The following is a 21714-nucleotide window of genomic DNA, read 5'->3' as shown; positions in this document are numbered from 1 at the left end:
CGAAGAACCTCCCCATCCCCCTTATACACCCTTTGACCTCCAGTGCTGCATTTTGGTGTCTTGATAGGGGAGGGGTCTGTCCGGTTGGATGTTTAGGACTCTAGAGGCAGAGATGTTTTTATTTCGTTTTGTTTTTGAATTGGGGTCCAGGCTGAGTTTAGGGGTTTCTGCATCCCTCCCAGGGCAGAGAGACACTCCTGTCCTGGCAGATGCCACAGGCTGAGTCACCGTCTACCCAGACAACTAAAATCCAGGCATCTTCCTCCTTTTCTCGAGGGCTCTCCAGCCCCTTCCAGAACCCAGGTGTCCCTCTGCCTCCTTTCTCCAGGGGCCTAAGTCTGGGTCCCTCTGGCATCTGGCATGTCTGCTTTCTGAGAGTCAAGCTTCAATCTTGCCTTTAGCAGAGCGGGTCTCTGGTGGGAGATTCAGTAATAAGGGCCTTCCCAGCCCAGCCAGGGCCAGATAGTTCAGTGACATCAGTGTCAGGGTTGGGATTACTGACCATGATAGGTTTCCAGCTTTCAGCAAATGGGGATGCCCAAAGGAGCAGATAGCGAGTGACCTGTGGCCCTGCTGTTTGATTCTGGATGGAGTTACGTTTAGGAGCCTGGCAGCAAACTGGGGCACCTGTTCAATTAGTGATGATGCCATACTCTGGTAAGAGAGCCAAGGCTGCATGGGTGATGGGAGGTTTCTGTTGGGACTGACATGGGCACACAACGGTTTTGGAGCAGGGCTGGTGTCCTAACATAAATAGGGGGCATAGTAGATGCTCACGGAGTTGGGCTTAATGAATTAGGGTGTTGTTTTATTCTATATAGCACCTAACTTGTGACAACTCTTGTTGAATTATTTAATTTTAATTTTCCTGTCTTTGTGTCTCAGGTGAGAACTATGTCTTATACTTCTTTATATCCTCAACAGAGTATATAATAGTTGCTTTAAAATACTTGCTTATTAATTGACAGGTTTTTCTACTCATTTTGTCACCATGCAAATAAACCCAGCCTGGACTGAGGCTGGCTCTTACCTAAACCCAGAAAGGAGCCATTTTTGGAGCAATAGAAATTCAGCCTCCCCTTTCTTGACCCTCCATAGATTGCCAGTCCTGCCCTCCAGCTCCTCTGTCTCCTCCACTTCTGTAAGGTCTCAGCCAGAGCCAGGAACGCCAGTCAGAACTTTCTCCCAATGGATAGTCTAATAACTATGATGCCCTTTATAAACATGTTATACTTTATTATAAAAAAGGTCAATAGACAGAAGGAAACTATCATCATCATTCTCCTTTTCCCCCTCTACCCAATCAGTAATAAGGTGAAATGGCCATAAGAAGAGAGAGAGAAAATCCAGAAAACACACACAGATGAAATGCCTACAAGGAGGAAAACTTGAATCTGGGGTGAAGGTGGGAGGAGAGAGAATGGGGACAGTAGAGAAGATGGGTAACTTTTACGAGATAAAGCTACAGCTGGCTTTTGGTGGAAGAGACAGGAAAATAAATGCTGAGACACCAATCAGGGAAGGTCTGGGGTGGAGATCAGTGGGTGAGACTGCTGGCCAAATAAAAATCCCCTCCTTGCGTGTCCACCCACAACCCAGCAAGCCAAACCAACAGGGCGTCCACTGTAGACATTTAGGAAAACTAAGGGATTTGGGAGGAAGAGGAAGCAACCATGTAGATGAGAGATATTTATGATTTCTTCTGGACTTTTTTTTCTCCAGGGCATGGAGAGAGTGGAGAAGGAAATAAATTCTCTTTTCTTCTTGGATCCGTTTTTTTTGTTTTTTTTTTTCATTAAAAAAATGGGGGTGGGGGCAAGGGTCCTGAGAACTCAGAGATGAGCCTGTTTACACACAAACTCTTAAGTAATAGTGAATGGAAATAACATAATGCTGTCCTGAAACCCAGAGACTCTGCCCTCAGTCCCTCCCTTTCCCCATAAACCCCACTCACAAGTCAGTCTGGGGCATTGCCTATAAGGCTCCTGTCCTTCCTTTAGGACTCAGTGCAGTGTTCTGCATTGGTGCCCCCACAACATGTCCATCAAACACCTTTTCATTCTCAGACCATTACCTTCTACAGAGAATGTCTGCTCGTATTATTCATTCTTTCTTCTTTGTCCCCTAAACTTACACCCTCCTTGCTTATCACCTCATTCCCCAACCAGTTTCAAGAACAGATGAAGGGTTAATACTGGTAACCGTCAGTATTCTCTGCCCTTCCTGTAGTCCCGGAAATAGAAATTGTGAGTCCGGTTCCTCATCCAGGAAAGGGGCAGAGCATGGAAGAGCCAGGGCTGGGCGCCTACTCCAAGATCACCGTGGGGAAGGGATCTGGCCCATGCCAAGATTCTGCTGCTCCATCAGGTAGACCGGGTAGGAATTGGGGCCACCCTCATCCTCTGCATCATTGTACTGGGTGTTCTGGGTTAGTGTGCGGCGTGTCCGCATCATATAGGAGACCTGTGATTGGGATGAGAAAGGAGGAATGAGAACCATCTGCGATTTGTTTTCCACAACACTCACCTCAGGTCTTGATTCTATTCTCAAGATTCCATCCAAACCTTGATGTTTATTCCAGCTCCAGGTCCAATACAATGAGTCCCAGCTCCATCTCCAGTTCCCCACTCTACCATATTCTCCTTGTCTTTACACCTCCTATTCTCATACCCCAGACTCTCCACCCCCCACACTTTCTCTTTCACACCCTTTCATTCTCAGCCACAGCCTTGTCCCCAATTCCAGCTTTTTACCTCCTGTGTATTTATTGTCTTTCTCCTTAGTTTTCACCAAAACTCTCCCTCTATTACTGTTCCTCCCACTTCTGCCATGTCTCTTTTCCTAGACTCATTATTCCCTGTAACTCTGACCCCTAATGTATCCTCAATTCCCTATCCCATAGGTTGATTTCTGTGGGGCACATCTGTCCCTTACCAAGAAGATCAGGCCAAGGAACACCAGGAGGAGAATCACAGCCACCAGGACCACAATAACTATGGCCCATGCAGGGAATGAATCATTCTCTCCCATCTGTCCAGCGTGGATACCTTTCTGTGAGCCATCTTTATTGAGGTATGGATGGCTCTCGTTTCCTGTGGCTTCTGATGTGATAGAACTCAGCTTCGTTCTAGATGTAATGAGGGTGAAAGAACCAGTGGGCACCTGATGAGTAACTTCAGTTTTATTTAGATGAGAAGAGGTAGTAGTGAGAGATTTGTCTCCTGTGACCTTGACTGAAGGTTTTATAGTCTTTGTGACTGCTGCTGTTTTTTCTGGGTTTTCTGTGGACTTTACTGGGGCTTTTATGGTCTCAGTGGTCAGTGTGGTGTTCCCCAGGTTTTCTGTAGGCTTTTCTGGGACTGGTGTGTTTTTCCCTTTGGTGCATATGGTCTTCTCTGAGTATAGCGTAGGCTTTTCTGGGGTTCTTGTGGTTTTCTCTGTGGTTGACGTGGTCTTTTCTGGGTGTTCTGTGGACTTTTCTGTGACTTGTGTCATCTTCTCATGGGCCAATGTGGTCCTTTTTGCATGTTTTATAGGCTCTGCTGGGGCTGGTGTGATCACATTGGCTGATGTAGCCCTATCTCTATGTTCTGTAGACTCTGCTGCAGATGAGGTGATCTTGTCATTGGGTGATGTGGTCCTTTCTCCATGTTCTGTAGGCTTTGCTAGGGATGGTGTGATCTTCTCATTGGCCGACGTAGTTTTTGCTCCATGTTCTGTAGGCCCTTCTGGGGATAGTGTGATCTTCTCATTGGCCAATGTAGTCTTTTCTCCATGTTCTGTAGGCTTTACTGGGGATGGTGTGGTGTTCTCATTGGCCGATGGGGTCATTTCTTCGTGTTCTGTAGGCTTTGCTGGAGATGGTATGGTCTTCTCATTGGCTGATGGTGTCCTTTCTCCATGTTCTGTAGGCTCTGCTGGGGATGGTGTGGTCTTCTCATTGGCTGTCCTTTCTCCATGTTCTGTAGACTCTGTTGGGGATGTTGTGGTGTTCTCATTGGCCAGTGGGGTCCTTTCTCCATTTTCTGTAGGCTCTGCTGAGGATGGTGTGGTGTCCTCATTGACTGTCGTTTCTCCATGTTCTGTAGGCTTTGCTGGGGATGGTGTGGCCTTCTCATTGGCTATCCTTTCTCCATGTTCTGTAGGCTCTGCTCGGGATGGTGTGGTGATCTCATTGGCCAGTGGGGTCCTTTCTCCATGTTCTGTAGGCTCTGCTGAGGATGGTGTGGTCTTCTCATTGGTAAATGGGGTCCTTTCTCCATTTTCTGTAGGCTCTGCTGGGGATAGTGTGGTCTTCTCATTGGCCAATGGGGTCATTTCTTCATGTTCTGTAGGCTCTGCTGGGGATAGTGTGGTGTTCTCATTGGCTGTCCATTCTCTATTTTCTGTAGGCTCTGCTGGGAATGGTGTGGTCTTCTCATTGGCTGTGCTTTCTCTATTTTCTGTAGGCTCTGCTGGGAATTGTGTGGTCTTCTCATTGGCTGTCCTTTCTCTATTTTCTGTAGGCTCTGCTGGGGATGATGTGGTGTTCTCATTGGCCAGTGGAGTCCTTTCTGCGTGTTCTGTAGGCTCTGCTGAGGATGATGTGGTCTTCTCATTGGCAAATGGGGTCCTTTTTCCATTTTCTGTAGGCTCTGCTAGAGATGGTGTGGTCTTCTCATTGGCCAATGGAGTCCTGTCTCCATTTTCTGTAGGCTGTGCTGGGGATGGTGTGGTGTTCTCATTGGCTGTCCTTTCTCTATTTTCTGTAGGCTCTGCTGGGAATGGTGTGGTCTTCTCATTGGCTGTCCTTTCTCTATTTTCTGTAGGCTCTGCTGGGGATAGTGTGGTGTTCTCATTGGCCAGTGGGGTCCTTTCTCCGTGTTCTGTAGGCTCTGCTGAGGATGATGTGGTTTTCTCATTGGCAAATGGGGTCCTTTGTCCATTTTCTGTAGGCTCTGCTGGGGATGATGTGGTCTTCTCATTGGCTGTCCTTTCTCTATTTTCTGTAGGCTCTGCTGGGAATAGTGTGGTCTTCTCGTTGGCTGTCATTTCTCTATTTTCTGTAGGCCCTGCTGGGGATGGTGTGGTGTTCTCATTGGCTGTCCTTTCTCTATTTTCTGTAGGCTCTGCCGGGGATGGTGTGGTGTTCTCATTGGCCAGTGGAGTCCTTTCTTCGTGTTCTGTAGGCTCTGCTGAGGATGATGTGGTCTTCTCATTGGCAAATGGGGTCCTTTGTCCATTTTCTGTAGGCTCTGCTAGAGATGGCGTGGTCTTCTCATTGGCCAAAGGAGTCCTGTCTCCATTTTCTGTAGGCTCTGCTGGGGATGGTGTGGTCTTCTCATTGGCTGTCCTTTCTCTATTTTCTGTAGGCTCTGCTGGGGATGGTGTGGTGTTCTCATTGGCCAGTGGGGTCCTTTCTCCGTGTTCTGTAGGCTCTGCTGAGGATGATGTGGTTTTCTCATTGGCAAATGGGGTCCTTTGTCCATTTTCTGTAGGCTCTGCTGGGGATGGTGTGGTCTTCTCATTGGCTGTTGTTTCTCTATTTTCTGTAGGCTCTACTGGGGATAGTGTGGTCTTCTCGTTGGCTGTCGTTTCTCTGTTTTCTGTAGGCCCTGCTGGGGATGGTGTGGTGTTCTCATTGGCTGTCCTTTCTCTATTTTCTGTAGGCTCTGCTGGGGATGGTGTGGTGTTCTCGTTGGCCAGTGGGGTCCTTTCTCCATGTTCTGTAGACTCTGCTGAGGATGATGTGGTTTTGTCATTGGCAAATGGGGTCCTTTCTCCATGTTCTGTAGGCTCTGCTGGGGATGGTGTAGTGTTCTCATTGGCTGTCCTTTCTCCATGTTCTGTAGGCTCTGCTGGGGATGGTGTGGTGTTCTCATTGGCTGTCCTTTCTCCATGTTCTGTAGGCTCTGCTGGGAATAGTGTGGTATTCTCATTGGCTGTCATTTCTCTATTTTCTGTAGGCCCTGCTGGGAATGGTGCGGTGTTCTCATTGGCTGTCCTTTCTCTATTTTCTATAGGCTCTGCTGGGGATAGTGTGGTGTTCTCATTGGCTGTCCTTTCTCTATTTTCTGTAGGCTCTGCTGGGGATGGTGTGTTGTTCTCATTGGCTGTCCTTCCTCCATGTTCTGTAGGCTCTGCTAGAGATTGTGTGAGCTCATTGGCTGATATGGTCTCTTGTATGTTTTTTGTAGTTTTTGTCAGGAGCTTGTCTGAGGCAACTGTTGTTCTGGAATCTTCAGTTTTTTCTGACTCTTCTGGGGTTCCTGTGGTCTTGTATGTTGTTTTTGAGGCTGCTGTGATTTTTTCTGGAAAAGATGTGCTTTTTTGCTTGGTCTGTGAATTGCCTGAGTTGTGGAAGGAAGTTGTAGTCTTATGTGAGCTGGTACTTGTCTTATCCAAAGTACTCATGGACTTTTCCAAAGGTCTTCCAGTTTTATCTGATTTTCTTGTTACCGTTGATTTGCCTGTTGTGGACTTACGACAGTTTATTTTGCTCTTGGGTGCTGGCGTTATATGTTTTTTTCCAGCGGATTCTTTATGTGTGGTAGTGGAGTCAGCAGGATCAACAGAGCGCTGGTTCCGGATCATTGGGTCTTTCCCTTGGTTGCTGGAGTTTTCTTCAGAAGTGGGAGGAGCCTCATGATTATCTGTAGAGCTTTTGTGGTCTATAGTTTTGGAGTTGCCTGTAGGCTTGTCAGTTGGCTTAGAATGGCGTGTGGTGTTGCAGTGGCGTTTTTGCTCATGGATTTCTGTAGATTTAGGGAGCTCTGGAGGTCTTTGTCCTGAATGCAGAACAATGTGATCAAAAGGGATACTATAAACAAGGCCTGGAGTGAGGGGAAATATGTGATCGGATGTTGAGAGTTCCCCAGTTTTCTGATATTCTTGGAATGTAGTAGCACCTGTGGAGGGAGAGAGGCAAATAAGAAACTTCCCCCATGTTCTTCTCCAACTCCCCCTTCCCACCTCCTTCTCTAGGGGATCTCTTTGTTCCCCCTGATATGACTCCCCAGCCAGTCTCCTCTGAATACTATGATATCTATTCCCCATTCTCACCTCCAGCCCCTAGGCTCAGGCTGTGCCTTCAGCAAGCATGCCACCTCATCCCCTTCCACATCTCCTCAACTCTCCATCTCAAGGCCTTCTGGCTTTAAGGCATCTTTTCTGATCCGTCTAAGCAGATAAAATCCAGCTTCATTTCAGTGCTTGAAAAGGTCTTTATTCACCATTCTGTCCTGTTACCTTCAACTTCACGTTACAGTTGTTTGCGTGCCTGCCGACCTCCACTCCCTGCCATGCCTATCCAATGGTAAGGTTTTGAGGGCATGTATGGACTAGCATTTTACTGTGCAGGTGCCCCTTTAGGGTCTGTAACTTATGGAATGGAGTCTTCTTTCTATGGCATAGCTGAGAAGACCAGGAGTAAACGTTAGACTCTTCACCTTTCCATAACATTCTAACACCATCCCAAATGTAACAGTGTGAGAAATTGAGGTAAGACCTCTGGCAGAACTTCCCATAGGGATTAGCAGGTAGACACAAATTGTGAGTGAGAGATGTATAAGAAGAATGGAGGATGGGTAGAGTAAGGAGATGGGAAGCTTTCATTTCGGTGATAAAGTTGGATGAGGGGAATGGATGAGATGACCCAACCCTTATGGTCACCCCACTGGGTCCCCCTCTTCACACATTTAAAGCCAACTGGGGATAGATGAAAGGGGCCATCCTGAAAGGAAAAGATATCTGCTTGGGGGTCCTGACAGGAGTAAACGAGGCAACTAGATTGTGGTAGGGACTGACTATGTTTAAGGACAGGGTGTGAGAGAAAACACCCCTATCAGTGGACAGATACACGCCTTAATTCCATGGAAAAACAACCTGATGGAGACAGAGGAGATGTCTCTGATACCTAGCCAAAAGAGTGAAGGCCAAGAGATCACCAAAGAGTGAAAGAGATAGTGTCATTACATAACTGAGGTTTCTGGTCCCTGTTAGCTCAAGGCGGCAACCGGAACCTGGACCTATTCCCAATCACAAGAAACCACAGTCCACCTGCCTGCTGATGGGCAGAATCGGCCTGGGGAGCTTAGTCCTTGAAAGAAATATGGGCAGGACAAGAAGGGTGTGAGGGTAATAGAGAAGCCCAAGTCTCTGAAAGGAATTGAGAATGAGGGGAGAGAAGGGGGCTGAATGATCAGGCCTGCACTCCACTGTCCCAATCCCATTACCTGATCTCCTTGGCAGCAATACCAGTAATAGCTATTGTTTATTGGACACCTTCCCCGGCCCCAGGATGTGGCTGGTGGCCTCACAGACATTCTCTTTCTGGATTCTCTTCTATGGTGATTGATCTCCCAATGCTCCATAAGGCTCTTTAGAAGCGGTCAACTTCCCCTATTTTACATCTGAGAAATTTACATTTCACGGAGGAAAAGTGACCTGTACATAGTCCCACAACAATAGCAATGGGCAACGTTTCTAGAGCTCTACAATGAGACAGGCAGGTTCTACAAGTGAGGGCATACATTAACTTATTTACTTTTCACAAGAACCTGTTGAGGTTGAGAACTATCCTATTCTCCAAACTTTATAGATGAAGAAACAAGGTTCTGAGTGGTTAAGTAATCTTCTCAAGGACACCCAGCAAGTAAGAGGTCGAGACAGAATCTGAACACACATCCTGGGGTCCCGGGCCCAGATCATTGCTGGTTAAGACCACAGTGCACAGCCAATAGGTCAGCCCAGTCTTTTAAAGAAGGAAAGACACTGACATGTGTGGACTCCCTGAAAGGTGCTGTTCATATATTTGTTTATTTAATCAAATAATTATGAACCTGTGAAGTGAGGAGTGTGATCTTACTGTTTTACAGGTGGGGAAAGGAGACGCAAAGAGGTTAAGTAATTGGCAAAATTAGACTTTTCACTGTGCCCCAGATGTTTTTAAACATGATAAGGGATGAATGACTATCTATTGAGTGAATAAAGGAGCTGGCAGCAATGCAAAGGGCATTTTCCACTGGCCTTAAAGAATCAGAGGACAGGTTTGACATCCAGGCTCGGTCCCTCAGCGGTTTTGCATTCTTGCTCAGGTCTCTTAAGTGCTCTGAAGCTCCATGTTCTCGACTGTAAATAACCATGATGCTGACTGCACCAGCTTAATGTGAGGATTAAAGGAAGTATGGACCATGGAAGACTCTGGAGCACAGAAGCTATTTAAATGTTTGTTGAATCCACATTGTAGTCTCTGAAATAATCTCGTGCTTTGCCCTGTCCTTCTCCTGGTAGTAAGGGGAGCCTGAGCAGTAGCCCTACCCCCCTGCCTGCTCCATCCACCTCTCACCTGCTGTGGCCACCTTCTTGAAAACAGCAGCCTCTGCATTCCTGGGCCACTTTCTCTGCTGTGTTTTAATAACACAGCACTCATCACTTTCTGATATGTGATAAATACAATTAAATTTCCACAATGGCAAGGCTTTTTTTGTTTGTTTGTTTTTTGAGATGGAGTCTCACTCTGTCGCCAAGGCTGGAGTGCAGTGGTGCGATCTGGGCTCACTGCAACCTCCACCTCCTGGGTTCAAGTGATTTTCCTGCTTCAGCCTCCTGAGTAGCTGGGACTACAGGCACATGCCACCACACCCAGCTAATTTTTTGTATTTTTAGTAGAGATGGGGTTTCACTGTGTTAGCCAGGATGGTCTCGATCTCCTGACCTCATGATCTGCCCACCTCAGCCTCCCAAAGTGCTGGGATTACAGGCATGAGCCATTGCATCCGGCCGGGGTTTTTGTTGTTGTTGTTGTTGTTTGAGATAGAGTCTTACTCTGCACCAGGCTGGAGTGCAGTGGCATGGTCACAGCTCACTGCAGTCCTGACCTCCTGGGCTCAAGCAGTACCCCCACCTCAGCCTCCCTGTCAGCTGGGACTACAAATGTGAGCCAGTATGCCCCCTCCTCACCTTTTTTTTTTTTTTTTTTTTAAGACGCAGGGTCTCACTATGTTGGCCAGGCTGGTCTCAAACTCTGGTCTTCAGTGATCCTCTCATCTCAGCCTCCTAAAATATTAGGATTATAGGCGTGAGCCACTGCACCTGGCCTGGCCTGGCCTGGCCTGGCAGGGATTTTTATTGTTTTGTTCATCGCTGTCTCCAGCCTAGAACAGTGTCTGATCCATAGGAGGCACTTTGTAAATATTTGTTGAATAATGAATGAAAGAATAAGACTGATGAAAACTCCTTAAAAGCCTTGCCAACAACATTTCATCATGCACGTTAAGTAAAAACCAAATGTATTTGTGACCTCCACAGGCTGGAAGACCAAGGGCGACTTCCGCTGTTCAGTAATTGAGCTCTGAGATTAAAAGACGTTGAAAGAAGGCCTCTGGCCCACCAATTCTGGGATACCAGTTGTCATTAAACCACAGGATCACAGTCCATAACTAGACTCAGATAACAAGATTTTAGAATTTTAGATCTGCATCAAACAGTTGTGGAACCATAGATTGTAAAAAGCTGAGGTAAAGCTCAAGGGATTCCTTGGCCCTGACACAGCCAAGAGGCAAATCAGTGTAAACCCCCAGGACAAGAGGAGCATCTCTGCCCCAGACGATCTACTTTGGTAGTGACTTATTTCCCTAGTAAGTTTTCACCAGGAGATATTCATTCCACGTACAACCATCATAGCCCGAAAAGAACTGTTTTGGTCACTGAAGAATAGGCAGGAGGTGCAGAGAGGAAAATCCAACTTTAGCACAAGACACTGTAGGTGGATGCTCAGCTGGGATAAAAGAATAAGAACAAATCCCACAACATCAAAACGATGCACAGTGCCAAAGGTCCCCGCCATCTGCTTTGTTCACTCATTTGAAAGAGAGGACATCGGCTGGGCACAGTGCCTTATACCTGCAATCCCAACACTTTGGGAGGCCATTGTGGGCCTGAGGTCAGGAGTTCGAGACCAGCCTGGCCAACATGGCGAAACCCCGTCTCTACTAAAAATATGAAAATTAGCCAGGCGTGTTGGCAGGACCCTGTAATCCCAGCTACTCAGGAGGCTGAGGCAGGAGAATCAGTTGAACCTGGGAGGCAGAGGCTGCAGTGAGCCAAGATCATGCCACTACACTCCAACCTGGGCCACAGAGTGAGACTCTGTCGAAAGAAGAAAGAAAGAGAGACAGAGAAAGAAAGAAAGAGAAAGGGAAAGAAAAGGAAGAAAAGAAAGAAAAGGAAGGAAGGAAGGGAAAGGAAAGGAAAGGGAAGGAAGGAAGGGAGAAAGAATATCTTGCTAAGCAACTCATGCCTTGGAGTCGCTGTCAGGGCACGCTGTCCCAAAAGAGCATCTCTAGTGTTTCCTGGTATCCTTACCCCCATAAATGGCATGCTCCATTTGCAATAATGTGGGTAAATGTTTGTTAAAATACCTATACAGTATGAGTTCAATAAGTGGCTTAAAATGCAGACATAGAAAAAGAAAAGCTGGTGGGCACAGTTGTTCACACCTATAATCCTAGCATTTAGGGAGTCTGAGGCAGGAGGATCACCAGTTTGAGACCAGTCTGGGCAACATAGCGAGACCTGTCTCTACAAAAAAAAAAAAGGAAAGCTAAAGGGAGATATAATCAAATGATTGCTTGGGGACTAGGGAGTATACAGAGATTTTATTTTTCTTTCTTATTTTTTCTATTTTCCATTTTCTACAATGAGCATACATTATTTGTGTTATAGAAATTAAATCAAATAACATTTGTTATAGGAAAATGTTCTTGTTAGATTCTTCCAAGGACCCCAGCCCCAATTCCCATCTCCTGCCTCACCTGTACTCTCTCAGATGGTTTCATCTAGACTGCACCTGTGCTCCCTCAGATGATTTCATCTGGGCTGCACCTGTGCTCCCTCAGATGATTTCATCTAGACTGCACTTGAGCCTCCCTCAGATGATTTAATCTAGACTGCGCTTGAGCCTCCCTGTGATGATTTAATCTGGACTGCACCTGTGCCTCCCTGTGATAATTTAATCTAGACTGCACCTGTGCTCCCTCAGATGATTTAATCTAGACTGCACCTGTGCTCCCTCAGATGCTTTAATCTAGACTGCACCTGTGCCTCCCTCTGGTGACTTAATCTGGACTGCACCTATGCCTCTCTGTGATGATTTAATCTGGACTGCACCTGTGCTGCCCTCGGATGATTTAATCTAGATTGTACCTGTGGTTCTGTGACTGCATGATGCAGACTCTGGGGTTCCAGGATCTAGTTATCTGTCTGGGTGTTGACTGGTCCTGTGGACAAACGTCAGGGTCTCCTCACCAGAATGGTAGACTAAAGGGCTTCATCCATCCCAGTTGTCCCTCTTCCCTTCCTGCCCTGGCCTCTCTCTCTGCTGGGCACAGCCATGCACCAGCTCTGATTCACACTCCAGTTCCACCCGACCTCATCACAACCCGAGCCCAGCCTCAAGCCCTCCCCACCTGTAACCCACTCACTCTTGTCTTCAAAATCTGCAGAATGGGAGCAGCCAGCTCCCCTTGTCCTCCCCACCCCTCCCTCCATGCCGCCCAGCCACGCCTATCTCCTCTCCGAGACCACGCCCACATGGCCCCATCGGAATCTCAGGAATTCAGATCTCCGCCCTGAAGCAAATCTCAGAGCGACTGTGTATGGAGTGGATTCCCTTCCGCCCCCTGCAGGTTCCTCTTCCTTAAGCTGCAAGATGGAAGGAGGAGAGAGCAGCCAGTGGACAATCCGCCTGAGAGGAAGGGGAAGGAAAGGCGGGAGAGATGGGGCCGGGAGGTGTTGGGCAGCTGTGGTACCTCTGTCTCCAGACCCTCAAGGTAGGGGAGACAGACATCAAGTCAGGGCACAGACAGGACGCACTGCTGAGACCTTTCAGAGGCAGCTCAAAGATTCCTCAGTCATCGCCATTCACCACCCACCTGCCCCTGCCTCCACCCCTGGCCTCAACCTGACTGTGCTCAGGGAAGGGGCACTGCCTCTAATATCACCCTGTGGATGGCTCTGTCCTTGGATGACTGTCCAGTGGGTAGATAGTGTCTCTGAATCTGCTGTTCTACATCTGCCTTGTGGAGACCCTCCTCCAAATTGCCCAGGCCCTCCACACCGCCCCTGTGTTCAGCATCTCTGCTCCCCGGGTTCAGTAGCAGTCCGTTTCTTGACTAAGTGAACTAATTTCATAATTTCATCTTATCTTTAGGGTATGTTTTGTTCGTCGAACTTGTCCATAGTCATTTTCCCATCAAAGTCCTGAGATGTTTCCCAACTGTAAGACAGGGACAGAGCCTTTGACGCACACTTTTCTGAGTCTCCATGTGGATTAAATGAGTAAATGTGGATGAAGTCCCTAGAGCAACACCTGGTGCAGTGTAAATGCTCTGTAGGCATCAAATACTGGTACGGCTGGGCAGCAGCATCCAGCCCATTTTACAGATGGTGTGGAAGGCCAGAGTAGGCAAATGGGTCAGAGTCAGGACTGGAAGCTAGGTCTGCACAAAACAGAGCTCTCAGGAGAGAAGCTCCACCTGTCCCCCCAGGGCTGGGGGCAGTGGAGCTGGAATCCCTGCTTACCTCCCTCTAGCTGTGAGATATGGGACATAATCATTGTGAATCCACTCTCCTCAACTATAAGATGGGATATTATTAGCCACCTCAGGGGATGCTGAGATGAAATGAGATGAGTCTCTGGGCACGGTGGCTCTCACTTGTAATACCAGCACTTTGGGAGGCCGAGGCAGGCGGATCACTTGAGGCCAGGCATTTGAGACCAGCCTGGCCAACATGGTGAAATCCTGTCTCTACTAAAAATACAAAAAAATGAGCCAGGCGTGGTGGCAGGTGCCTGTAATCCCAGTTACCCAGGAGACTGAGGCAGAAGAATCGCTTGAACCCGGGAGGCAGAGGCTGCAGTGAGCCAAGATTGTGCCACTGCACTCCAGCCTAGGCAACAGAGCAAGACTCCTTCTCAAAAAAAAAAAAAAAAAAAAGAAGAAGAAGAAGAAGAAGAAGAAAGAAATCACCATGAGCAGCTGTGAATTCCGTGCACGGTGCTCAATGAATGTCAGGTGCCTACCCCCACCATCCAGGGCTGGCAGCCTCTACAGTGTCTTTATGCAAACTTGAAGAAACCCCCTCTGGATGGGTGCAGCCCTGTGAGCCATGTTTTAAAGAGCAGAGCACAGGCTGGATTTCATCTCCTACTACATGTCCCTTAGCCAGCAAACTTGAGCAGAGAACACTCTAGACAACTGTCTGTAGCAGCCCCGTGCCCGCCCCCTTCATTCATTTCTATTTGTTGTCCAACGCTATGAACACTAAGAAACAAGCTGTTTCTGTCTTCTGTATCCCCTGTGGGCATCTTACCTGCCCCCCAAGAAGCTAGAAGGAAGAGGAGGCAGCACTGGAGGCCAAAGGCGGAGCAGAGGCTGTGGACCGGCTGGGCCATGTCGGAGCTGGGTGGCTGCTTGGGGACCATGGGCTGCGGACCCCTCACCTTATATGGAGCCAATCTTGACGTCATGGGGGCTGGGGCTCCTCAGGACTAAGTCTTAAACAAATGGAGCCACCCCAACCCACAGGGGAGCCCTGATAAGAGGAGACCGCAGCTGCTGCGTCATGGAGCCAGGCACCTGGGTGCCTGCCGAGGGGTGGGATCTGGGGGCAGGGCAGAGGAACCAGAAAGGAGCAGGCACCTGAGCCAGCCCCAGTGGAGGGAAGTGAGGGTGGCGCCTCCAGGGCTCTGGGGAAGTGGGGAGCAGATGGCTCAGTTCTAGAAGGACTGAGCTCTGGCTGGGAGCAGGATGGGGTGGGGTTCACGTTCTGATCTGTGTCCAGCTTCACGCGCACCCTCCCACCTCTCCCGCATCAGCCCAGCTTCCACACCCCTTATTCACACATGGTCATTCTTGCCACCTTGGGCGGAGCTGTCCGCGAGGATCAGGTGAAAGAGCAAAGGCGAGAGAAAGCCCTCGAATGACCCTCGCTGCAGAGAAAGGTGCTTCATGATGTTCAGAGGTCATACAACAATATGTGGAGAGTGCAGAGGCAGTGACAGAGACAAGACACAGAACCACAGGGACATATGTCACACCCCTCACCAGGGACACAGACAGGTCAGGCCACCCAGAAGGACCGAGGCCAAGATCTTTGGCCAAGAGATGCTCGGTGTACAGGGGCTTCTGCTTTCACTCTACCTCTTCCCTCCCACCTCAGCTCAGCGGCTGTCTCTTTGTCTCGAAGTCCCCATTCACTCCTATACAGAAATGCAGACATCTCATTTTTAGGAGCACCCCAGAGCTCCCCCTTCCCTTCCTCACTTCCTGCCTAAAGCAAGCATTAGCTCAGAGACTCCCTTGTCTCCCCAGTGACAGTGCCTGGGGCTGGAGTAGGGGAGGACAGACTCCCTGGGTCTCTAGCACAGAGAAGTCACAACCCCTTTCTGCCCACTGTGGGTCTCCATGGAAAGTAAGCACCTTGGATCCCTGCTGTGTCATCAGAGCCTAGGACAGTGTCTGGCACACAGTAGGCAATCAATAAATGTTTCCACTCCGCCTGGATGGAGTGGAAGCCAGGGCCGGAGGATGCCTTTCTGAGGGAAGTGGGGGCAGGCAAAGGCCATAGAGAGGTCCAGGACCTGAGGGCAGGAGGCCAGGCCCTCAGGGCATTTGGGCTCATGAGAGGACTAGAGAACTGGACATGTGGGTTCCTCTCCTTACTTGGTGTGACTTGTCCCTAAGCCCTGGGCAGGGCTGGAATAGGTGGGAAGAGGAGAGGAGGCCAACTGCTTATTAATGTGATTAATGGGAGATTAATGAGGCTCCGTGGAGTCAGGCCAAAGACTGACTACTCAGAACTGGGCAGCCTGCCTCCCAGGCAATATATCCTGCAGGATGGAGAAACTAAGGCAGACACAGGCTGTCCTCTGCAACTCCATGTAGACTCGGGTGACTGACAGTCCCCCTTTTCACTGGTCCCCTTCCCCCCCCCCCTTTCCCCAGGGACCCAAGCCTCTAGGACGGTGGTTCTGTACAGGGAGGAGTAATTTTGCCCACATCAGGGAACATTTGGAAATTTCTGGAGACATTTTTGTCACAATTTGGAGTGGGATGCTACTGGCATCTAGGGGGTAGAGGCCAGAGATGCTGTGGGACATCCTATAATGCCCAGAGCAGTCTCCACAGCAAAGAATTATCCAGCCCAGGACACCAATTGTGCTGAAGTGGAGGATCTCTGCTTTAGAATAAGCACTAACCAGTGTTTGTGAATGAACACCCCCTTCCCTTCTCTCTGAGCTACAACTCCACCCCAAGGACGCTGATGTCTGGGATGGAGAAACCTGGAGGTAGGTGGAGGCCCAAAACAGTCTCTTACAGTCAGTCTATGTTGCTTCATCTGAGCTGGAGGCTGAGAGGCCAGTCACGAAACAACTCTGCCAACTACCATTGTTTGGGCATTTCTATGTACTGAAGAATGTACTAAGCACCTCACCTATGAGTTATCACCTGTCACCCTCACTTTACAGATGAGGATAAATGAGCCTCGGATCAGGGAATGACTTGCCCTGGTAACTGGCAGAGACCAGACTTGGCCCTTCCGGGCCCACATGACACAAAAGCCCATGCACTTGGGCAAACCCACAGCATCTGGGAGACAAGTGGAGGAAGTGCCATTTTATTTAGCAATAACTTGTTCACCACCCTCCCATAGCAGACCGAGGGGGCACCACAGAGGAGGGTCCTGCACCTGCCCTGAGGGGAGAGAATCAGAGGGCCTTGGGGGCTCAAGAGCCAGCCTGAGGGGGCTCCCTGTGGAGGGAAGTGAGAAGGGAAGCCGTGAGCAGACTGTCCTCAGCTAAAGAGCTTCTCTGGTCGTCAGGGAGGAGGGTGGGACTAGGAAGAGAGGGTGAGGGGCAGGGGTTCCAGCTGTCCAGACCTGGGCTCCGTGAGGGCTGGAAGGTGCCTGCAGACCACTTAGCCCTGGTCCTTCCTTCTACAGATGAGAAAACTGCCCTCGGAGAAGCTGGGCACCTTCCCGCAGTCTGCATGGCTGGCGGCAGGACAGAGAGCAGAATCTTGTGACTGACAGTAGACTCCTCCTTACGCTGTGGGTGGAAGAGACCTGGGGGGGCCAGTGACCCCAGGAATCTACCTGCAGGAAATGGTCCCAGCTAAGGTGAATGGGATAGGGGAGTCTGGGAATGAGACTATCTGGGAGAGGAAGAAGGAAGGCCAAAGGGTAGGCGCTCAGCTGCCCCAGCCCCACCTTTCATTTGACAAGAGTAGCGCTGGCTGGCAGCCTCCCCCTCATGGTGGCTGCTGTAAGGGGTCACAGAGCCACAGCCACACCCCAGACTCATCTCCCTCCGGAACTGGCAGGCCTGTGAGATGAGGGGAGGGTACGATGGGTTAATCTAGGGACCCGGGAACCTGCTGCTCAGCCCAGCTCTTCCCATGAACTGCTGCTTCCTCTTGGCAACCCAGGCACTCAGCATTCCTCTTTGAGCAAAAACAGCAATAATAATGAATAAGGCTGTATATTGAGCACTTACTATAATACATGCCAAGCACCATTAGTGCTCTCTTTGCATAAGCTTATTTGATCCTCCCAACCACCCTTTGAGATGGATGCCATCATTCTCATTTCATCCAGGACTCAATTACCTCATCTGTAAAATGAGGAGTAATATTTCCTATATCACTGGCTTGCTGTGAACTAAAATATGTACAGCACCTAGCACACCTAGCACATAATCAGTGCGATGTAATATTATTATTATTTAAGTATTATTATTAATGAAGAATCCGGAGCACAGACAGATTAAGTAACTTGCACAAGGATTCAAGCCCAGGTGAATGTGGCTCCACAGAACTGGTCCTTCATTGCCTAGAGCTGAGTTGAGTGCTTCCACGTGCCAGTCAGCCTCCAGCACTCCCCCGCCTCTTTCAGTGGCCCCAACCCCCTATCCCTGCCAGACCGGTGTTTTTCTCGGCCACTGAGACAAGGGCTCTCTTTGCCCTCCCTGCAACAAGCCCTGCAAGCTGTCATTCCCCTCCCCAAAGCCCTGTTCTCCTCTGAATCCTGGGGCACCAGGTCCCAGCCCCACTGGCACAGGGATCCCACACATTGGACCATGGCATTGCTCACCTTCTTGATACCGTACATTAGGCTGACAATTGCTGCCACCAAAGTGAGAGTGATCAACACAATGGCCCAGTCTGAGACAGAGTCCTTCTGGGGCTTCGGACCTGGGGCACAAAGACAGGGCCAGTGACTGAGGTAAGTGGTGCCTCCAGCCCCCCAGACCCCCACTGCCCTCTGACTTTCCATCTTTCTTTCTGTGACTGATGTCTCTGACTCTGAGACCTCATCTCTCTGGTGTTTTCTCCTATCACCTTGGGAGCAGAATCTCAGCAGGGGTGGGGGTGGGGGTTTAAAGGGCTTCAATCCAAGTCTCAATTGCCTCTTCCCTGTGGACACGTCTGTCAGTCCCAGACTCATCACTGAGGTCCGCACCTCACTGTCTTTCTCGGGCCCTATTTTCTGCATCCCTGGGTCTGTGATGCTTCTGCACTGGGAGGGTCCTCAGTAGGCACTCTCCTTCCTCCAAGCCCCAGTTCTCCCCACCACTCCACCCTGATTCTTGTCCTTAAGGGGAACCAGAGCCTGATCTCCTGTCTTCCTTCCATTCGTTTCCTGCCGTCAGACTTCCCGCGTGGTATTCCCTATGCTCCCCTTCTAGGAATGAAAGGGAGGGGAGGAGGATGATGGAAGAAGGAGGGGTGATCTCTGGAAGGAATGCCTCTCGCCCTGAACAGAGAGATTAGATCATGAGGAAGAAAGATGAAAACCTTTCGAGAAAGCAGCCAGGTAACAGGCATCTGGCAGTTGGTCTGACCAGAGGCCACCAAAACCCCTTTGAGCTACAGACACATCCTCAGACAGGTTTAAAATACAGTTGAAAGCAGGAGCTAATGACTCTCCCTGAACTCCTCCCAAGGAGCCAGGGGTGGCTGCAGGGAAATGAGAGAGAATAGGCCCACCAACATTTTACTGTAAGTGACCCAGTGCCTAGAAGAGTGACTTAACTGGCCAGGATGCTGAGCCCAGAGGACGTGGTGGCCACCCAGCCATGGTGGCAGTGGAACTCCTAAGACAGCAACACTCAGTGCTAAAGTCCCAGGCACAGTTGGAGCTGTTCCGGGAGCACTGGATGAGGCAGGTCCTAAGAGGGCAGAGGGAAAAAACAGAAGAGATTCAAGCAAGAGCAAAGCAGAGGTCACATCAAATGCACCCACAGGCAAGACTCCAGCAAGTTTTTGGAATAAACTGATGAAATAATGTTATGAAAATCAAGACTGAGAATAACCAAGACACTCTCTTAAAAAAAAAAAGGGAGAACTTACACTATGAGATCTCAAGACTTGCTACAAATCTGTAGTCCTTAAGCACTGTGGCCCTGGAGTAAGAACTGACTGATAGGCCGGGTGCAGTGGCTCACACCTGTAATCCCAGCACTTTGGGAGGCTGAGACAGGCAGATCACCTGACGTCAGGAGTTCGACACCAGCCTGGCCAACATGGTAAAATCCCGTCTCTACTAAAAATACAAAAAAATTAGCTGGGTGTGGTGGCAGGCGCCTGTAATCCCAGCTACTCCGGAGGCTGAGGCAGGAGAATTGCTTGAACCCGGGAGGCGGAGGTTGCAGTGAGCCGAGATCGCGCCATTGCACTCCAGCCTAGGCAACAAGAGTGAAACTCCACCTCAAAAAAAAAAAAAACTTACCGAAAAACCCACACAAATAGTCACTTGACTTTCAGGATAGGTGCTCACCGTTCAATGGCAGGGACAGGGGAGGGTCCTTGGAAATAATGGTTCTGGATATTCATAAGAAGAAAAAATGAATCTTGACTTCCACCTCGCTCCATACACAGAAATTAACTTGAGATGGATAATAGACTTAAATTTGAAAGCTAAAATAATAACGTTTCTGGAAGAATGCAGAGGAGAATATTTTCATGACCTTGAAGTAGCCAAAAAAGTCTTAGGATACAACAGGAACTAATCATGACAGAAAAAGGTGATGAATTGGAAAACAGAAAGAGAGGCCCTTGTATAGCCACAAAGGCAAGGGAGCTGCTTCCACTGAGGTTCTGGAAAACTGCCAGGCTTGCAGGAAGCCCCACCCCAGAGCTACAGACCGAGCTGAAGGGTTCTCCCGAGATGGGTTGAGCAACAGAAATATCACCTGATGATGTGGAGACTGTTCCTGAAGTGCTCCCAGAAACGGCTGGAGCTAAAGACTGAGGACTGCTGGGAAAACTCCCAGAGTTTGAAGAAACTGTTGAGACACTCCCAGAGGCAGTAGGGAGACTTCTAGAGATAGTGGGGACAGTTGCAGAGATAGTGGGGAGACCTCCAGAGACAGAGGGAAGATTTCAGAGACAGTAGGGAAACTTTTGGAAATAGTGGGGACAGTTGCAGAAACAGTGGGGAAACCTCCAGAGATAGTGGGAAGACTTCCAGAAACAGTGGGAGACTTCCAGAAACCGGGGAGAGCTCCAGAGACAGAGGAGAGACTTCCAGAGACAGTGGGGAGACTTCCAGAGACAGGGGAGACCTGGGGATACTGTGTCAGAAGTCCCCAGTAGGGTCAGCTGAACTGTTGAAAAAAGAAGATAAACCATAGAACAGGGTTAGAAGAGTTGGCCATCCCACTGGGTCCCAAATTCATGTCCTTCCTCAAGACCCCCTGTCTGGGCCCAAGTGCTCACTGGGTCCGGCCAAGGCCTGCAGGCCCAGGAGCAGCACCAGCACAGTGTCCATGGCACCAGTTGAAGTGTGTTGGCCAGGCCCATCTCCCAGGCTCTTTAAAGGCTCTGGGGCCTATTATGAGTCCCGGGAGAGCCAGTTGTGCCGGGGCCTCCACCAACACCAGAATCTCCATCCCCAGAGAGAGGTCGCCAAGTTGTCCCAGGGGATTAACCTGTCCCAGCCTGATCCCAGGAAGCACAGGGTGAGGGGGAGAGTGAGTAAGAGCCTGCGGGCTCCCCCACCTGGCCCTTGGGCTCTTCCTGGACTAGGGACCTGTCCCCCAGGTCTGAGTCAATTCACAGCCCAGACCCTCCTTTAAAAGGGGAGACCCAAATGACCTATCCCAAGGTCATCCTCTTGTTCCTAGAAGTACAACCGTTGGAAGTCAGGACGTATGAGTCCCTCAGGGAAGCAGGATTTGGAAGCTGGGGTTGTAGGGGAACCATGAGGGTCTAGGACTGCATCTGACCTTCTGGAAACCTAAGAGTGGGCTGGGAAGGTCAATACCTGAGCCGTGTCTCACCTAGATGGCTGCAGCTGACAGAGCTTTCCATTCCTTTGACAGGGAAGGGGAAAGGGGAGATAAGGGGCACCAAGGAAGACACGTGTCATGTTTGGGGACAGTGTGATATGGAAGGTCAGACCCCAGCTCTGGAGCCAGACAGCCCTGAATCCTCAGAAGCTCAGTACCAGGGCTGAGTCCACTGCACTGGAATCCACCACTGCTGAGCTGTGCATTCTCTGGCAAGTCACAAGGCCTAAGTCTTAATTTCACCTCTAAAATCGGGGTAATCTAGTACCTACTTCACAGGCGCTTATGCGCTATAAAGGAATACTTAGTGATGAGCCTAGCACATGGCTGTAGAAAGTGTGGGGGAGGCCAGGTGCGGTGGCTCACGCCTGTGATTCCATCAC

General features: G+C 49.5%; 2 protein-coding genes and 1 long non-coding RNA gene across 6 annotated transcripts, besides 2 other annotated features; 1 reads left to right on the top strand and 2 right to left on the bottom strand.

Moving 5' to 3' along the window:
* The first annotated feature begins 571 nt into the window (after positions 1–571).
* On the top strand, positions 572–9455 carry HCG21 (HLA complex group 21). Its single transcript, NR_138040.1, has 3 exons — positions 572–657; positions 2903–3072; positions 8856–9455. It is a non-coding gene; the product is annotated as an HLA complex group 21 (long non-coding RNA).
* MUCL3 (mucin like 3) lies at positions 1213–14461 on the bottom strand. Its single transcript, NM_080870.4, has 3 exons — positions 14353–14461; positions 2935–6887; positions 1213–2463 (listed from the first exon to the last, which is right to left on the bottom strand). The coding sequence occupies exons 1-3, from the start codon at positions 14432–14434 to the stop codon at positions 2317–2319; spliced, it is 4182 nt and encodes a 1393-aa protein (NP_543146.2). The 5' UTR covers positions 14435–14461; the 3' UTR covers positions 1213–2316.
* Positions 13788–14625: an enhancer, noted in NCBI's record as "H3K27ac-H3K4me1 hESC enhancer chr6:30908586-30909423 (GRCh37/hg19 assembly coordinates)". NCBI's record gives its function as "activates a minimal SCP1, AML or CMV promoter by ChIP-STARR-seq in naive and primed H9 embryonic stem cells {active_cell/tissue: H9 hESC(naive and primed)}" and the evidence as "EXISTENCE:reporter gene assay evidence [ECO:0000049][PMID:30033119]".
* Positions 16528–18393, bottom strand: LOC124901299 (uncharacterized). 4 transcript variants are annotated; one of them, XM_047419622.1, is made up of 4 exons: positions 18133–18393; positions 17251–17365; positions 16921–17136; positions 16528–16793 (listed from the first exon to the last, which is right to left on the bottom strand). In XM_047419622.1, the coding sequence occupies exons 1-4, from the start codon at positions 18313–18315 to the stop codon at positions 16660–16662; spliced, it is 648 nt and encodes a 215-aa protein (XP_047275578.1). In that variant the 5' UTR covers positions 18316–18393; the 3' UTR covers positions 16528–16659. The 4 variants fall into 4 exon arrangements, with proteins under 4 accessions (XP_047275578.1, XP_047275577.1, XP_047275580.1 ...); XM_047419621.1 differs by having other exon boundaries at positions 16528–17136; XM_047419624.1 differs by having other exon boundaries at positions 16528–17132.
* Positions 17045–17546: an enhancer, noted in NCBI's record as "H3K4me1 hESC enhancer chr6:30905665-30906166 (GRCh37/hg19 assembly coordinates)". NCBI's record gives its function as "activates a minimal SCP1, AML or CMV promoter by ChIP-STARR-seq in naive H9 embryonic stem cells {active_cell/tissue: H9 hESC(naive)}" and the evidence as "EXISTENCE:reporter gene assay evidence [ECO:0000049][PMID:30033119]".
* Positions 18394–21714: the final 3321 nt, after the last annotated feature.

The sequence above is a fragment of the Homo sapiens genome, chromosome 6 (assembly GCF_000001405.40).
Source record: "Homo sapiens chromosome 6, GRCh38.p14 Primary Assembly".
Classification (NCBI taxonomy): Eukaryota; Metazoa; Chordata; class Mammalia; order Primates; family Hominidae; genus Homo; species Homo sapiens.
The sequence above is the reverse complement of the archived record's forward strand: the minus strand, read 5'-3'. Positions and strand labels throughout refer to the sequence as shown.

Coding starts and splice junctions, on each gene's coding strand:
- MUCL3 (NM_080870.4), bottom strand. CDS start 14,434: ATGGCCCAGCCGGTCCACAGCCTCTGCTCCGCCTTTGGCCTCCAGTGC. Junction 6,888..14,352: donor TCTAGCTTCTTGGGGGGCAG/GTAAGATGCCCA, acceptor CTCCCTCCACAG/GTGCTACTACATTCCAAGAA. Junction 2,464..2,934: donor TCCTTGGCCTGATCTTCTTG/GTAAGGGACAGA, acceptor TCCCAATCACAG/GTCTCCTATATGATGCGGAC.
- LOC124901299 (XM_047419621.1), bottom strand. CDS start 18,315: ATGGAAAGTCAGAGGGCAGTGGGGGTCTGGGGGGCTGGAGGCACCACT. Junction 17,366..18,132: donor TAATGTACGGTATCAAGAAG/GTGAGCAATGCC, acceptor CTCATCTCACAG/GCCTGCCAGTTCCGGAGGGA. Junction 17,137..17,250: donor CTACTCTTGTCAAATGAAAG/GTGGGGCTGGGG, acceptor CATTTCCTGCAG/GTAGATTCCTGGGGTCACTG.